This window comes from Homo sapiens, chromosome 20 (genome assembly GCF_000001405.40).
Source record: "Homo sapiens chromosome 20, GRCh38.p14 Primary Assembly".
Classification (NCBI taxonomy): Eukaryota; Metazoa; Chordata; class Mammalia; order Primates; family Hominidae; genus Homo; species Homo sapiens.
Genome location: NC_000020.11, coordinates 52,531,112 through 52,550,018, shown reverse-complemented (window position 1 = coordinate 52,550,018; position 18,907 = coordinate 52,531,112). Strand labels below are relative to the sequence as shown.

The 18,907-nt window shown below is 40.5% G+C and overlaps 1 long non-coding RNA gene across 4 annotated transcripts in view; it reads right to left on the bottom strand.

Annotated features, from left to right (window-relative positions):
• LOC105372666 (uncharacterized) overlaps positions 1-18,907 on the bottom strand; it is a 483,513-nt gene that overhangs the window by 144,137 nt on the left and 320,469 nt on the right. For 3 of the 4 annotated variants that reach the window (XR_007067652.1, XR_001754670.2, XR_001754671.2), the window contains one exon: positions 10,958-11,267. This is a non-coding gene — a long non-coding RNA (uncharacterized LOC105372666). Of the gene's footprint in view, positions 1-9,069; positions 9,229-10,957; positions 11,268-18,907 lie in introns of those variants that run through there. The other variant, XR_007067653.1, reaches the window with a different exon arrangement.

Sequence of the window (18,907 nt, the reverse complement as noted above, 5' to 3'; positions counted from 1 at the left end):
TGATTTATTTATTTATTATTTTTTGGGTGGATTGAACCTTTTTTTATTTTTCATTTTTAATTTCTGTGGGTACATAGTAGGTGTATATATTTATGGGTTACATGAGATGTTTTGATATGGGCATGCAATGTGTAATCACATCAGGGTAAATGGGATTTCCATCACCTCAAGCATTTATCCTTTGTGTTGCAAACAATTCAATTATACTTTTTGCTATTTTTAAATGTACAGTTAAATTATTACTGACTATAGTTACCCTCTTGTGCTATCAAATACTAGGTTTTATTCATTCTATTTTTTTATACCCACTAACCATCCCCACCTCCCCCACCCCGGCCTCCTACTATACTTCCCATCCCCTGGTAACCATCCTTCTACTTTCTATCTCCATGACTTAAATTGTTTTGATTTTTAGATTCCACAAGTAAGTGAGAACAAGTGACATGTATCTTTCCGTACCTGGCTTATTTCACTTAACATAATGACCTCCAGTCACCCATGTCCTTGCAAATGATGGGATCTCATTCTTTTTGATGGCTGAATAGTACTCCATTTTGTACATGAATAAAAATAATTTTCTTTTATTATTATTATTATACTTTAAGTTCTAGGGTACATGTGCACAACATGCAGGTTTGTTACATATGTATACATATGCCATGTTGGTGTGCTGCACCCATTAACTCGTCATTTACATTAGGTATATCTCCTAGGGCTATCCTTCCCCCCTCCCCCTCCCCCCACCCTACGACAGGCCCTGGTGTGTGATATTCCCCTTCCTGTGTCCAACTGTTCTCATTGTTCATTTCCCACCTATGAGTGAGAACATGTGGTGTTTGGTTTTCTGTCCTTGCGATAGTTTGCTCAGAATGATGGTTTCCAGCTTCATCCATGTCCCTACAAAGGACATGAACTCGTCCTTTTTTACAGCTGCATAGTATTCCATGGTGTGTATGTGCCACATTTTCTTAATCCAGTCTACCATTGATGGACATTTGGGTTGGTTCCAAGTCTTTGCTATTGTGAATAGTGCCGCAATAAACATATGTGTGCATGTGTCTTTATAGCAGCATGATTTATAATCCTTTGGGTATATACCCAGTAATGGGATGGCTGGGTCAAATGGTATTTCTAGTTCTAGATCCTTGAGGAATTGCCACACTGTCTTCCACGATGGTTGAACTAGTTTACAGTCCCACTAACAGTGTAAAAGTGTTCCTATTTCTCCACATCCTCTCCAGCACCTGTTGTTTCCTGACTTTTTAGTGATCGCCATTCTAACTGGTATGAGATGGTAATTCATTGTGGTTTTTATCTGCATTTCTCTGATGGCCAGTGATGATGAGCATTTTTTCATGTGTTTTTTGGCTGCATAAATGTCTTCTTTTGAGAAGTGTCTGTTCATATCCTTCACCCACTTGTTGATGGGGTTGTTTGATTTTTTCTTGTAAATTTGTTTAAGTTCTTTGTAGATTCTGGATATTAGCCCTTTGTCAGATGGGTAGATTGCAAAAATGTTCTCCCATTCTGTAGATTGCTTGTTCACTCTGATGGTAGTTTCTTTTGCTGTGCAGAAGCTCTTTAGTTTAATTAGATCCCATTTGTCAATTTTGGCTTTTGTTGCCATTGCTTTTGGTGTTTCAGACATGAAGTCCTTGCCCATGCCTACATCCTGAATGGTATTGCCTAGGATTTTTCTAGGGTTTTTATGGTTTTAGGTCTAACATTTAAGTCTCTAATCCGTCTTGAATTAATTTTTGTATAAGGTGTAAAGAAGGGATCCAGTTTCAGCTTTCTACATATGGCTAGCCAGTTTTCCCAGCACCATTTATTAAATAGGGAATCCTTTCCCCATTTCTTGCTTTTGTCAGGTTTGTCAAAGATCAGATGGTTGTAGACGTGTGGTATTATTTCTGAGGGCTCTGTTCTGTTCCATTGGTCTACATCTCTGTTTTGGTACCAGTACCATGCTGTTTTGGTACCAGTACCATGCTGTTTTGGTTACTGTAGCCTTGTAGTATAGTTTGAAGTCAGGTAGCGTGATGCCTCCAGCTTTGTTCTTTTGGCTTAGGATTGTCTTGGCAATGCGGGCTCTTTTTTGGTTCCACATGAACTTTAAAGTAGTTTTTTTCCAATTCTGTGAAGAAAGTCATTGGTAGCTTGATGGGGATGGCACTGAATCTATAAATTACCTTGGGCAGTATGGTCATTTTCACGATATTGATTCTTCCTATCCACGAGCATGGAATGTTCTTCCATTTGTTTGTGTCCTCTTTTATTTCACTGAGCAGTGATTTGTAGTTCCCCTTGAAGAGGTCCTTCACATCCCTTGTAAGTTGGATTTCTAGGTATTTTATTCTCTTTGAAGTGATTGTGAATGGGAGTTCACTCATGATTTGGCTCTCTGTTTGTCTGTTATTGGTGTATAGGAATGCTTGTGATTTTTGTACATTGATTTTGTATCCTGAGACTTTGCTGAAGTTGCTTATCAGCTTAAGGAAATTTTGGGCTGAGACGATGGGGTTTTCTGAATATACAATCATGTCTTCTGCAAACAGGGACAATTTGACTTCTTCTTTTCCTAATTGAATACCCTTTATTTCTTTCTCCTGCCTGATTGCCCTGGCCAGAATTTCCAACACTATGTTGAATAGGAATGGTGAGGGAGGGCATCCCTGTCTTGTGCCAGTTTTCAAAGGGAATGCTTCCAGTTTTTGCCCATTCAGTATGATACTGGCTGTGGGTTTGTCATAAATAGCTCTTATTATTTTGAGATACGTCCCATCAATACCTAATTTATTGAGAGTTTTTAGCATGAAGGGCTGTTGAATTTTGTCAAAGGCCTCTTCTGCATCTATCAAGATAATCATGTGGTTTTTGTCTTTGGTTCTGTTTATATGCTGGATTACATTTATTGATTTGCGTATGTTGAACCAGCCTTGCATCCCAGGGATGAACCCCACTTGATCATGGTGGATAAGCTTTTTGATGTGCTGCTGGATTCGGTTTGCCAGAATTTTATTGAGGATTTTTGCATCGATGCTCATCAGGGATATTGGTCTAAAATTCTCTTTTTTTGTTGTGTCTCTGCCAGGCTGTGGTATCAGGATGATGCTGGCCTCATAAAATGAGTTAGGGAGGATTCCCTATTTTTCTATTGATTGGAATCGTTTCAGAAGGAATAGCACCAGCTCCTCTTTCTACCTCTGGTAAAATGCAGCTGTGAATCTGTCTGGTCCTGGACTTTTTTTGGTTGGTAGGCTATTAATTATTGCCTCAATTTCAGAGCCTGTTATTGGTCTATTCAGGGATTCAACTTCTTCCTGGTTTAGTCTTGGGAGGGTGTATGTGTCCAGGAATTTATCCATTTCCTCTAGATTTTCTAGTTTATTTGCATAGAGGTGTTCATAGTATTCTCTGATGGTAGTTTGTATTTCTGTGGGATTGGTGGTGATAGCCCCTTTATCATTTTTATTGCGTCTATTTGATTCTTCTCTCTTTTCTTCTTTATTAGTCTTGCTAGCAGTCTATCAATTTTGTTGATCTTTTCAAAAAACCAGCTCCTGGATTCACTGATTTTTTGAAGGGTTTTTTGTGTCTCTATCTCCTTCAGTTCTGCTCTGATCTTAGTTATTTCTTGCCTTCGGCTAGCTTTTGAGTGTGCTTGCTCTTGCTTCTCTAGTTCTTTTAATTGTGTTGTTAGGATGTCAATTTTAGATCTTTCCTGCTTTCTCTTGTGAGCATTTAGTGCTATAAATTTCCCCCTACACACTGCTTTAAATGTGTCCCAGAGATTCTGGTATGTTGTGTCTTTGTTCTTATTGGTTTCAAAGAACATCTTTATCTCTGCCTTCATTTCATTATGTACCCAGTAGTCATTCAGGAGCAGGTGGTTCAGTTTCCATGTAGTTGAGCAGTTTTGAGTGAGTTTCTTAATCCTGAGTTCTAATTTGATTGCACTGTGGTCTGAGGGACAGTTTGCTATAATTTCTGTTCTTTTACATTTGCTGAGGAGTGCTTTACTTCCAACTACGTGGTCAATTTTGGAATAAGTGTGATGTGGTACTGAGAAGAATGTACATTCTGTTGATTTGGGGTGGAGAGTTCTGTAGATGTCTATTAGGTCCGCTTGGTGCAGAGCTGAGTTCAGTTCCTGGATATCCTTGTTAACTTTCTGTCTCGTTGATTGGTCTAATGTTGACAGTGGCGTGTTAAAGTCTCCCATTATTATTGTGTGGGAGTCTAAGTCTATTTGTAGGTCTCTAAGGACTTGCTTTATGAATCTGGGTGCTCCTGTATTGGGTGCATATATATTTAGGATAGTTAGCTCTTCTTGTTGAATTGATCCCTTTACCATTATGTAATGGCCTTCTTTGTCTCTTCTGATTTTTGTTGGTTTAAAGTCTGTTTTGTCAAAGACCAGGATTGCAACTCCTGCTTTTTTTTTGTTTTCCATTTTCTTGGTAGATCTTCCTCCATCCCTTTATTTTGAGCCTATGTGTGTCTCTGCATGTGAGATAGGTCTCCTGAATACAGCACACTGATAGGTCTTGGCTCTTTATCCAATTTGCCAGTCTGTCTTTTAATTGGAGCATTTAACCCATTTACATTTAAGGTTAATACTTTCATGTGTGAATCTGATCCTGTCATTATGATGTTAGTTGGTTATTTTGCTCATTAGTTGATGCAGTTTCTGCCTAGCATCAATGGTCTTTACAATTTGGCATGTTTTTGCAGTGGCTGGTACCAGTTCTTCCTTTCCATGTTTAGTGCTTCCTTCAGGAGCTCTTGTAAGGCAGGCCTGGTGGTGACAAAATCTCTCAGCATTTGCTTGTCTGTAAAGGATTTTATTTCTCCTTCACTTATGAAGCTTAGTTTGGTTGGATATGAAATTCTGGGTTGAAAATTCTTCTCTTTAAGAATGTTGAGGCCAGTCATGGTGGCTCATGCCTGTAATCCCAGCACTTTGGGAGTCCAAGGTGGACAGATTATGAGGTCAGGAGATCGAGACCATCCTGGCTAGCATGGTGAAATCCTGTCTCTACTAAAAATACAAAAAAATAGCCGGGCGTGGGGGCAGGCACCTGTAGTCCCAGCTACTCAGGAGGCTGAGGCAGGAGAATGGTGTGAACATGGGAGGCAGAGCTTGTGGTGAGCCAAGATCACGCCACTGCACTCCAGCCTGGGCAATAGAGCGAGACTCCGTCTCAAAAAAAAAACAAAAAAAAAAAACAGAATGTTGAATATTGGCCCCCACTCTCTTCTGGCTTGTAGAGTTTCTGCCAAGAGATCCGCTGTTAGTCTGATGGGCTTCCCTTTGTGGGTAACCCGACCTTTCTCTCTGGCTGCCCTTAACACTTTTTCCTTCATTTCAACTTTGGTGAATCTGACAATTATGTGTCTTTGAGTTGCTCTTCTTGAGGAGTATCTTTGTGGCATTCTCTGTATTTCCTGAATTTGAATGTTGGCCTGCCTTGCTAGATTGGGGAAGTTCTCCTGGATAATATCCTGCAGAGTGTTTTCCAACTTGGTTCCATTCTCCCCATCACTTTCAGGTACGCCAATCAGACGTAGATTTGGTCTTTTCACATAGTCTCATATTTCTTGGAGGCTTTGTTCATTTCTTTTTACTCTTTTTTCTCTAAACTTCTCTTCTCGCTTCATTTCATTCATTTGATCTTCAATCACTGATATCCTTTCTTCCAGTTGATCGAATTGGTTACTGAAGCTTGTGCATGCATCACATAGTTCTCATGCCATGGTTTTCAGCTCCATCAGGTCATTTAAGGTCTTCTCTACGCTGTTTATTCTAGTTAGCCATTCGTCTAATCTTTTTTTCAAGGTTTTTAGCTTCTTTGCAATGTGTTCGAACATCCTCCTTTAGCTTGGAGAAGTTTGTTATTACCGATCATCTGAAGCCTTCTTCTCTCAACTCGTCAAAGTCATTCTCTGTCCAGCTTTGTTCCGTTGCTGGCAAGGAGCTGCATTCCTTTGGAGGAGAAGAGGCGCTCTGATTTTTAGAATTTTCAGCTTTTCTGCTCTGGTTTCTCCCCATCTTTGTGGTTTTATCTACCTTTGGTCTTTGATGATGGTGACATACAGATGGGGTTTTGGTGTGGATGTTCTTTCGGTTTGTTAGTTTTCCTTCTAACAGTCATGCCCCTCAGCTGCAGGTCTGTTGGAGTTTGCTGGAGATCCACTCAGACACTGTTTGCCTGGGTATCATCAGCGGAGGCTGCAGAACAGCAAATATTGCAGAACAGCAAATGTTGCTGCCTGATCATTCCTCTGGAAGCTTGGTCTCAGAGGGGCACCCGGCCATATGAGGGGTCAGTCAGCCCCTACTGGGAGGTGTCTCCCAGTTAGGCTACTCGGGGGTCAGGGACCCACTTGAGGAGGCAGTCTGTCCATTCTCAGATCTCAAACTCCATGCTGGGAGAACCACTACTTTCTTCAAAGCTGTCACACAGGGATGTTTAAGTCTGCAGAAGTTTCTGCTGCCTTTTGTTCAGCTATGCCCTGCCCCCAGGGGTGGAGTCTACAGAGGCAGGCAGGCCTCTTTGAGCTGCAGTAGGCTCCACCCAGCTCGAGCTTCCCTGCTGCTTTGTTTACCTACTCAAGCCTCAGCAATGGCAGGTGCCCCTCCCCCAGCCTTGCTGCCGCCTTGCAGTTAGATCTCAGACTGCCATGCTAGCAGTGAGCGAGGCTCCATGGGGGTAGGACCCTCCAAGCCAGGTGCAGGATATAATCTCCTGGTGTGCCATTTGCTACGACTGTTGGAAAAGTGCAGTATAAGGGTGGGAGTGACCTGATTTTCCAGGTCTGTCATGGCTTCCCTTGCCTAGGAAAGGGAATTCCTCAACCCCTTGTGCTTCCCAGGTAAGGCGATGCCTTGCCCTGCTTTGGCTCACACTCCGTGGGCTGCACACACTGTCCTGCAGCCACTGTCTGGCAAGCCTCAGTGAGATGAACCCGGTACCATAGTTGGAAATGCAGAAATCACCCATCTTCTGCCTCGCTCATGCTGGGAGCTGTAGACTAGAGCTGTTCCTATTCGGCCATCTTGGAACCCCACTCATTTATTGAAGACAGACTCTTGCTCTGTCACCCAGGCTGGAGTGCAGTGGCACGATCTTGGCTCACTGCAACCTCTGCCTCCCAGGTTCAAGCAATTATCCTGCCTCAGCCTCCCGAGTAGCTGGGATTACAGGCATGCCCAACCATGCCCTGTTAATTTTTGTGCAAAAAGTTTTAAATCCTCCTGGTGGTTCTCAGCCAAAGTGAATCGGGTCCCCCAAAGGTTACATTCAGAACTGGGGGAGGTGTACTTTTACTTGTCACAGTGACTGGGAGGCATCAACTGGCATGTAATGTCAGGGGTCTAGGGACAACCAACATCTTGCCTCGGATGGGATGCAATAAAGAACTGGCCTGCTCCATGTGCCAACTGTGTTCCCCAACATGAGAAACCTGGAGCCAAATGTCCCTGGGAATCCATCTGGAATATTCCATATGCTTTTGGAGTTGCCAGCCTCCTAAATGGTGTCAAATCAAGTGTTAGCTGTTGAGTGTACCAGGCTTCTTTGTGGGTGGCAATGTAGTTAGTTAGGAGTGCCAGGGTAAAACGAAATTTGCAGGGAGAGGAATGGGATTGGAAGTGAGTACATACAATTAAAAATAGCCTCACATTTTTATAGGACCCTGATCTGATTTCTCCCTGGTATAACAGCACGCACTATGAATTAGGATTGCAAAGGCTGGCCCGAGCTTGGAGGCATTCCTATTTTCCCAGTGCATTTTCGGCTTGGTGTAGTATCATTTAGAAATAAAAGCAAAAAGATTTATGTCTCATTGCATTTTGTAAAGACAAAAAATAGTTCCCAGCATGAAGAGGCAAAGGGATGCCAAATTTCAGTCTCAAATGAAATTTTGTTCCTTGCTAAAATTTGCTGAAAATGGCCATTTATATTGGAAACTATAATTTACACTTCATACGGATGTGACAGAGGAAACCTAGAAAGATTTTTGGAAAAGACAGGAGATGAGGGGGCAAAAAAAAAAAAGAGAGAGAAATACACTGATTCCATTTTTCCTCCTGGTTCCTTTTTTCTTCTCTTTTTCTTTTTTAACCAAGATGCTCACATATTTCTTTCAATGAATTTATTGGATCATAGAAACTGTTGTCCTAACTTGTCTTATGATCCATTTCCCCTTTTTATACACCCCATGGCCAGTCTCCAATGCCCAATCCAATGCAATGCACTGTCTTAATCCTAGGAGCCAAGGTTTTGTGAGGGCTACTATAATTCAGTCAACAGCTATGTATCACATTAACATCCACTTTGTTCCTACAATGTGAATGCTCTTGGTACAACATATTTCACAGAAACAGATGATGCATGGCTGTCCTTTTAGCCCTCACGATCCAGTTTAGACGTGGAGATATAACCTGCAATCCCATCTAAACCCACCCCACAAATATGTCCCATGCTGTTGTGCTGGGCCCTGTGACGAATGCTAGGAATGTGGCTATGGACGTGATAGTTGTGTTCCTGTCCCCATGGAGCTTACAATCTAGATAGGGAAACAGATCATCAATACATAAACAAATCACTCCTCAGTATATATGGGCAGATCTAGGAAGGAAAGAGTTGCAGTAGTAGAGAACTGAAGAAAGAGGGAGAAACTTCAGGCAGGAACAATGATAAGCAAATTGACTCCGTAAAGACAAGAATGGGTACAGGAAAGTTAAGGGCTGCAAGTTCCAGGCAGAGAGCAAAGTTTATGGTGTGAAGTTTCTAAGTTAGAAAATAATTCACCTGGTTCGGGGGAGGCCAGTGAGGCGGAGACAACAGCACGACAAAATGTCATGAGGGAGGCAGGAGTCAGAGAAAGCACAAAAGGAAGCGAACCACAGGGATAAATGAGGGCTGTCAATGGCAGTCCCAGCTCGTGCTTATAAGTGCTTCTGCTCCTGCATAGAGCCCAAAGGACAGGTGGCTGGGAGCATTTGCAGAGCCTGATCTCTAGCAGTGCAGGAAAGAGATGGCAGTGGCTTACAGTACCCACCTTCTGGAAGGTAAAGTGAAATGCAGATGGGTGTAAGATGCCTCTTAGAGGTGGCACAGGCAGGACTTGCTAGTTAGAAAGAGAAGGAATCAAAGGTGACTCTCAGGCTTCTGGCTCAAAGATGTGCTAGCACAGCTGAGATTCCAAAGGACAAGGTCAGAAGTGAGCTGGATGAATCAAGAAAGACAACTTTGCAGATAACTTGTGGTCTAGAGGGCATGGTGAGGTAACAAAGGCAGGCAGTGCTGCCAGGGTAGCAGGGTGTGCCAGAAGGCTCTGTGAACTGGGAGGGGAAGGAGAGCAAAAAAGGCCTGAAGGTGACAAGAGCTCCTCAGTCATGAAAACTGTCTGCCAAATGCTAAACCCACATTTCAATCCACTCAACCCCTTATGTGCACACAGCACGAGCTGCAGCATCTAGACCAACAACAGTTAAAAGCACGAGCTCTTAAGACACAGTAAGACTGTGGACTGTACTGAGTACTGGCCATGCTGAACTTCTCCCTGCCTCGGTTTCCTCATCTATACAACGGTGATAATCCTAGTTTTTGCCATAGAGGGCAGTAACAAGGATTCTATGTCATAATGTATGAAATAAACTTAACCCAGTGACTGGCACATAGAGTTCAGCAAACTTTAGTAACTTATTTTTAACTATCATTATTATGATTATTATTACAAATACTGCACCTTTCAAATGGCCAGATCTATTTTTCTATAGCTGGTACCTGTCAGGGTTTATTCTGAAGAACCTTGAGTAGCAGGGACTCACTAATGTTTTATGATATTTTACCTCACTTTATGGTAGTCATTTATGACAAGACCAGGATGACATAAACTGCCATAAACCAAAGCAGTGCAATCACACAAATGACCATAAATCAAGGGGGCGCAACTGAAAAGGGTCATAAAGGGAAGGAAATGGAGGGAAACAGAGGAGAGGCAGAGAGTGAAGTTGGGAGCCCGCAGCACAAACTTCCAGAGAGTGGAATTTCAATTGAGGAGCAAACTCAAAAAAAAAATAGATGGATGTCTTCAAGGGTTGTTTAAATTTCATGTACACATTTCCAGACAAATATGGTGCAATTTCATGGTTTCAAAGAGAAATACCTTATTTCATGTCCTACTGTGTTATGCATTTTTTATTGGAAATGCTATTTCTAATCCTATCAGTATATTTGGGATCTATATTGGACTTCAGAGATGTTTAGAATTCACAAGAGTAGGAAATACTTTAGCAGTTCAGGAACTATTGATGTCCCTGGATTCTTCTGGCGCCCCGCTGGCTAAAAGGGATTTCTTAACCAGCAGAACTTTTTTCTTTGCCCTTCTTTTCTTTCTTTAATATTTCTTTTATATTATTTTTTCTGGAGCTTACTATAATGAACAGAGACTAAGAGAGGGTATATAGATTCAATGCGCTAGGAATAATTCTGTTCAGGTATATGCAGATGAACAGGAGTGATGGATGGAAAACACAAGTAACAATGTTTCCAAGACCCTTGTTGAGCAGATTTTGCTCAGCTTTTAGACAAAGTCACAAAAACAAACTAGGACGACAAATTTGGACCTAGTTCTGATTATAACTTTCTTAGTTGTTTTAAGATGATTCAAGTAAGAAATAGAAACTAGATGGGAAAAAGACACCAACATATATAACATTTTATCCTCCATTTTTCTTGCTGAGAGAATATTTGTGGCTAAATATTACTCCCAGCCAAAGTGGTATATTTGAAAATATATGCAATAGACCTAGTTCAAGGGACTTTAAAATCAAATACTCTTTTAGACAGGTTAAGGATCTGCCTGGCTAAAAGAGCACTTCCATTTATACACCCCAATGGTGAACAGTCCTTTTATAACAAACACTCTCCTTCCAAACATGTACCTTTTATTCAAGTTAGACTTCATATGCTTGGAGTTTTCACAAAGCAGAGCCCATCTGTTTTTCAAATTACATCGACCTTCTTGAGCGTGATCTGTCCCATGCACCAGTGTAGTCCTAACACAAGATGCCAGGATGTTCCCAGGAACACACTTCTACCAGCATACAGGCTGGCAGCACGAGGCAACGAGGATTGGGAAGTCAAAGCTGCAGGACAGTGAATTTGGTGCCTCCCTCACAGATGTTTTCAAAACCTGGTGAAAGCTGAGGCCACTCTGCCATTAGCGTCTCACCTCTACATTTTCAGATCCTCCTTTAACGAAAAAAAAAGTTTTGGGTTACATTTTTTTAATTTTGTTTTTATCATTTTCTGGCACTCTTACATTTTTTTTTATCCAAGACAGGATCTCACTGTGTCACCCAGGCTGCAGTACAGTGACATGTTTGTAGCTCACTGCAGCCCCAAACTCCTGGGCTCAAATGATCCTCCTGCCTCAGCCTCCCAGGAAGCTGAGGCCATAGGTGCACACCACCACACCCAGCTAATTTGTTAAACGTTCTGTAGAGATTTTGTAGAGACACGATCTCACTGTGTTGCCCAGACTGGTCTTGAACTGTCTGCAATTGATCCTCCCACCTCAGCCTCCCAAAGTGCTGGGATTACAGGCATGAGCTACTGTGCCCATTTTTTATTCTAATTCTCCCACAGAACTTCCAGATATTAAGGGTCTTGATTTTTTTGGTTGTTTTCTTTTATTTTTATATATATCTTGGATACTTAATTACTCAATATGGTCTCCCTCCTACTTGGCTAGAAATGGCAACTTTTGGCCCACAGATAGCAGTATATCTTAAGGAAATATTTGGACAGCTATGCAAAATTGATTTATAATTATAAAGAAAAAACTGGAAACTCCCTGAATGTCCACTGAAAGAGAATTTTAATTGCATTACAATACATTCATTCAATACAATACTATGCTGAAGCTGTAAAAGACATGAAAGAGTATTGATATTTGTATGGAAAAGTATATACTCACACACACCTATCTTAAAAATCTGGAAGGATTTATGCCAAACTGTAATCAACGACTCTCTCTGAAGAGGTGAAATTTCTGAGAAAATTTTCATTTTCTGCTTCTTACATTTCTTTATTGGGTGAACTCACATAATGGGCACAGAGCATATGGGTATTAAGGTAAAGATACTTTTATTTTGAGAATATTGAGTAAGGTTCCATTTTTGTTGCACAAACAAGTGTGGGCATACATTATTTTATTTTCCAAGACAGAGTCTCACTCTGTCGCCCAGACTGGGGTGCAGTGACATGATCTTGGCTCACTGCAACCTCCACCTCCCGGATTCAAGTGATTCTCCTGCCTCAGCCTCCCGAACAGCTGAGACTAGAGGCATGTGCCACCACGCTCAGCAAATTTTTTATTTTTTATATTTTTTTTAGTAGAAATGGGGTTTCACCACATTGGCCAGGCTGATCTTGAACTCGTGATCCCATGATCCACCTGCCTCGGCCTCCCAAAGTGCTGGGATTACAGGCGTGAGCCACAGTGCCCGGCCTGGGCATACAATATTAATAGCAGTTATCTGTGAGAAGTGAGAATGTGAGAGAGTATTCTTTTCTTCACTACTTTTTCTGTTTTCCAGGTTTCCCACAATGAATACATATTACTTTTGTAATATGAGAAAGTTAATATTTTTTAGAAATGCCCCCCTTAAAATGAAATATAATAAAATGCAAGACAGAAGGAAAGGCCAACTTCCCTACTTATGTCTCCTCAATCCTGGAAACCACAGAGCCAGAAGCTCAGCATATCTGTTTTCCACAACATACCACAATCTAAACAACTGTGAGAAAAAGGGGAAGAGTGAGCCTGTGCCTGTACAATGCATTTGGAGCTGCAGATGAACAGTCCTCCGGTTGCAGGTGCACTTGGGAGTGTTTCTCAGGCCGCCTTCCCTGCAAACATCCTCCCGCCTTGGTCTCTGGCAGCCATGTCTGTGGTGTGTGACTCGACTTCACAGATGGCAGCACGTGGCACCAATAACAAACAGCTAGCACAGGAGGGCGGGGTCCACTGACTCAACAGCAACCCATCTGATTCTCCCTCAAGAATGTCGTCTTAAGAGTCAGATGGCACTGAGCTCAAGAACTACACGGTCACATCAAGTCAAGGCTGGAGGGGATGTTTTCTGCCAAGTATACACTTGATAGAAGAATCAAAAAAATGCTGATCTTCAGAAAGAAGAAAAATACTGCAGCAGACACATATTAAAAGGAGAAGTCCAAAAACAACATGGCCCTAGAGAACACTAAAGAGTGGGTTTATACCTAACAGAATAGCAGTTTCTGGCCCCAAATACCATGAGGAATTACCATTTCCAATGATGGCTTCCTATCACTTTTCAATACAATACCTTTCACTTGCATGGGCTTTGGAGAGCTTCTTCTCCTGGCAACTCCCACTAAACTGCCAGTTTCACGGCGTCTTGTCAGTCTTGGACATTGTGTCCCCAGATCCTAGAACAGTGCCTTGGATATTGCAAGTACTCAATATGTATTTACTGAATCAACTGATGAGCCAAGGGACTAGATGAAAATAGTCCAGAAGCTCCTAAATAGGTCAGATCCTTGGGCAGAAAGATAAGGGATTTTATTATTAAAAATCCACCAGATGACATGACAGGAATGGCCAGAACTTCTTAGACTAGAGTGTGTGTGATTGGAATGCAGAGCATTCTTGAAAATTTTAAATAGACTTTGAAATCTTCATAACTGACATCACTCATCCCTAAATCACATCCTTGCATTTGGGTGGCTGATGACGACATTGAATTTTGAATGAAAATTTGAATGAAATTGCTCTGCTCAGTGCAGAAAGTCAAAGGGAGCCCTTGAATTGAGTGTGTGATACACAAACACATAAGCAGTCCAGAAGCCCATGTATAAGCAACAAAACTGAGTTACTCTTTTTTTCAATGAAGTAGGCTACATTACCCAAGAAGCAGAGCCACAGATGATTTCCTGAAGGAGCAGGAAAACAGAATGTGCTCAAAGAGTATTGCAATTTAACCCACTCCAACAGATAAAACATCATATTAAAAAAAATCTAAACTTATCTTTCTTTCTACATCCCGGTAGGTATGTTTGAGATGATCCAATTTTATATTGAACAACCTTAATTGAGAGGAAACAAAGTTATGAGTCTGGGGCAGAACTGCCTTGCAAGGCAAAAAAGACAGAAATAAAGGCTCAATAGTAGCATGCAATATTATAGAGATGGTTTTACATCTGTTTTGCATAATGTTCTTTTGGTCCTTTCTTCCCCATCAATGAAGATTTTTTTCTTTTTTTTTTTTGGTCCTTCAAAATAAATTCTAGAGAAGGAACAGCAGGTATGGAGAAAAATAATAACAAGCGCTATATGCTATACTGTTTCTTGGCTCAACTAGTAACGATCATTTTCTAAGGTGAAAGGGCCTTAGGAAACTTTAAAAAATGTTAGCAGTGGTACAGCTTTAAGGGTGACAAAGTTGTTTACTAATCATAGTCTTTAAATTTGCTTAATTATTGGAGCATTAATTTTCTGGGTTCATTTCAGAAGGGACCACCCTTGGAGGAAGTCGGGGGGAAACATATTGTCTACTTAGAAAGGCAACTTTCATAATTTGGTTGTATTTCCCCATTGGTTAACCTTTTAAAGGAAGGGAAAGATTATAGATTAAAACACTCTACACTAGCAGACCTTAAGGTGAGTCATTCTATTTTGTTTTGTATTTAGATGAGAAATTGTAGTTCATGTTTACACCTTTTTTTTTTTTAGTGCATATTGCTCATTATCTTAAGGGAGAGACCAAGAATGTTACAATGATTATTAGTGAGGCTGGTGATGAGATTACCGAACCATCTGGAGTTGGCTTTTCTTGTGCGATATATAATTATAGGGGTCTATTTACAGTCTTATTTATTTATTTGTTTTGCTTTTTAATGATTCACATTTTAATTTTTGTTCTCTCCCCACGAAGGGTCTGATTTCTCCATCTTGAGCGTGCATTATTATTTGGAGTGCTACTTTATTCCCTGGAATGCTAGAATTAAAGAACATTTTTCAAAACTAACTAAATAAAGAGCCAACCTCAGTACCGTAATGTCAGAGATCTGGATAAAGCATACCACAAAAGGAAAGCACGGAGCCATAATTCAACTAACACATTTCCCACTTGTATGGCAATCCTGGGGCATATTATGTTGTAAAACATCTTATTCTCCTTCTAATTTCTTAAATTGTTCCAGATGCTCTTTAGCCATAAAGAAATGTAATGATAATTTTTTTTAAAGCTGCATCATCTGTTTCCATAACTGACTTCCCTGCAATGTGCCAGTTAGTTTAGGAAGTTCGAATCAGAAACAAGTTTATATATATGGTTCATTTGCACATAAATAGGGAAAGATCAGAGTTGAACAGCACAGTAGTAGAGAGACAATAACCAATCTCACTTTAACAGAGAACCATCTAAGTGCTCTGTGACATAATATCCTCATCTTCAAAATAATGATAATACTGCCTACCTGATGGATTTTTGTAAAGATTAAATTAGCTCATGCACATAATTTTAGAATCCAGTAATTGGCACAAAAGTATTTAGCAAAAGTAAACTATTATTTCCCAAAATCTTTTAATCATCCCTTTTATGGATATAAGACAGCTAGAGGTGATTCATAGAGAATTTTTTAATGTTTAATGTGTATCAATTATGATGACCATGGCTATGAATAGTAGATATTATTTGGGAACAGTAATTTTCAACCAATAAAAAGTTTAAAATAAAAATTACTTTAAAACAGGGCATGGCAAACGATAGCCTACAAGTGAATTCTGGCCCATTGCCTGTTTCTATATGGTCTGCCAATCAAGAATAGTTTTTACATATGAGTATTTTCAGTTTGGTGATAGTGAGCACTAAAAAGAAAATAATCCCTTTTTTATTAATAAACCTTTATTACAAAAATTACACTCTCATTAAATTTTGAATTTCATCAGTAAAAAATTGGACAAAATTTGTTTTCCCTGTTGTTATATAAATACCAACATAATACCCTTGATTTTGCCTCTTGGGCTGTAAAGCCTAAAATATTAACTCTCTGGCCCTTTACTTTCTTTCATAGAGTAAGAAGTCCAGAGGCAGAGCAACTCTCTACAGTCGTTTAAGGGAATAGGTCTGTGATTCATCAACATCAAGATTCTTTCCACGTGTCCATTCTGCCATCATTAATGTACTAGCATCACCTGCAAGCTAGCTCTTTTCCTGGTGGGAAGATGAGCTACTGCAGCTACAGAATGCAGAAAAGTCCTCTCTGGTGTCTCCTTAAGGAGAAAACTTTTCCCAGAAATCCCTGGGCAGATCTTTCCTTACTTCTCATTGGCCAGAGCTGGATCATATGACCTCTCCTGAGCCAATCACTGGAAAGGAAAACAAGATTCTGATACCTGTCTTAGTAAGTTCTATTTACTTGAGGTGGGAATGGGGTCAGCTTTCCTTGAAGCACAAGATTGCATGGAGGATGGGTGGGTAACCTCATACATTGGGGTTCTGTTAGAAGAGGAAGGGGGAAAATGGACATTGGATAGGCAAGCTATAGGATGTTCATTTCTTTAAATGTGCATTAGAAACAAACCTTTTAAAAAAACTTAGCCTTAAGCAACAAGAGCTATGAAAACATGGGTTCGTGTGCTAATTTTAGTTTGTTTTCTAATACACATTTAAAGAAATGAACATGCATGTTTTCATAGCTCTTGTTGCTTTGGTTAAGGCTAAGTTTTAAGTCTACTGAAATACACCATTAAATATGAGTTACTATACTCTTAAATCACACAATAACTAAACTTTGAGCAGTTAGGCATGTTGACCATTGTTTATGTTATACTCTTTGCTCAGAAATTCCAATTTATTCTTCAAAGCCCAAATCAAATGTCCCTTCTCTGATCTCTCATTCTTTTTATGCCCAAAAAGGATTGGTTTCTTCCACAGCACTTTCTTTTTTATATACCTCTTCTAACAAGGGCCAGGTTGTGATATTTACATATCCACTCCTGATGGGGAACACCCTGTTTGTCATTCAGCCATTTATGAAACACTTGGTTGAGCAGCATTTATACGGCTTACGGAGAATACATCTACGTCATTTCTAGCCCTGACAACTAAGGCGTGATGCATAGGAGGTACTCGTGGTATGTTTGCCAGTAACTATCCATGCAAACTTAGCAAAGGGGAAAAACACATTTTGAACAACTGGCACTTTAGCAATTTCTTATTTAATTCAAAACAAAACCAGTCAATCTCATAAAATCTCTGAGGATTGCAGACAAAAATGTCCCTGGAATAGGACTGGATTAACACACAGATAATTGGAGGTAAGCCCTTTTGCCTCCAACCACCAGCTCATTACTAATTTACCCCACTTTAAGAGTATGAGTCAACTTCCTTCTTTTAAGAGAATCCAAGGAAAGCTAAAGACGTACTCCTCTCACTGTGTAAACATAATTTTATTTCTAATTAATTTCAATAAAATTTTAAAAATTAAAATTTGATGACTTTCCTATCTTATTTGGAACACTTCAATGACACCTCATTTCTTTCAGGATAAGGGCAGAAACGGGCCTTCACAGATCTAGTAATTTGACTCGAAACTTTTTTCTTTTTTTTTTTTTATTACACTTTAAGTTCTAGGGTACATGTGCACAACGTGCAGATTTGTTACATAGGTATGCATGTGCCATGTTGGTTTGCTGTACCCATCAACTTGTCATTTACATTAGGTATTTCTCCTAATGCTATCCCTCCCCCAACCCCCTACCCCCTGACAGGCCCCGGTGTGTGATGTTCCCCGCCCTTTGTCCGTTGTTCAACTCCCACCTACTAGTGAGAACATGTGGTGTTTGGTTTTCTGTCCTTGTGATAGTTTGCTTAGAATGATGGTTTCCAGCTTCATCCATGTCCCTGCAAAGGACATGAACTCATCTTTTTTATGGCTACATAGTATTCCATGGTGTATATGTGCCACATTTTCTTAGTCCAGTCTGTCATTGATGGACATTTGGGTTGGTTTCAAGCCTTTGCTATTGTGAATACTGCCGTAATAAACATACATGTGCATGTGTCTTTATAGTAGCATGATTTATAATCCTTTGGGTATATACCCAGTAATGGGATCTGTGACCTGAAACTTTCTTTGCATCTTGCTTCTCACTGTCCTCCCCACTCTCTCTTCTGCAGCCACACTGGTTGCTTGCTGTATTTCAAACATGAAGCTGCTCCTTCCCCAGGACCTTTGCACATGCTTTCCCTCTGCTCCAGATACTCTCCTATTAATCTCTAAGGTCTCAGGTTAAGTGTGACTTTCCCTGGGAAGGCTTCCTAGTCTCCCCAAGCTAGATGAGGCTCCCATATCACATATTCTTATGGCTCTATACTTTTTTCTTCAAGAGAGTAACCAAGTTTTAATGAAATTGATCCTTTGTGTAAGCATGTGTTTGATTTCTGCTTTCCTCATAAGAAAGTAAGTTCTGTGAGGTTAGGGAACTATGCGTTGTTAACTGCTGAATCTGCAGTGCCTAGGACAGGGCCTGGCACATAGTAGGTCTTCAATAAAGATTGGTTGAATAAACCAATAAATGAGCCTGTCCAAGAGCAGTAAGGTCACTGCCTGGACCCATCAGTATTCCCCCAGGACAACACAGAATTCCAAAGCCATTTTCTTTTGACAACAACAACTCATTTCTGCATTCACTCAACAAGTATTTATTGAGCACCTGCTGTGTGCCAGGATCTTAGTCAGTGGGGGTAGAACCATAAACTAAATGACCAAGTTTCTGGTCCCCTGGAGCTTACATCGTAGTGGGGAGACAGAAATGAACCTATAAGTAAATAAATGCCAAA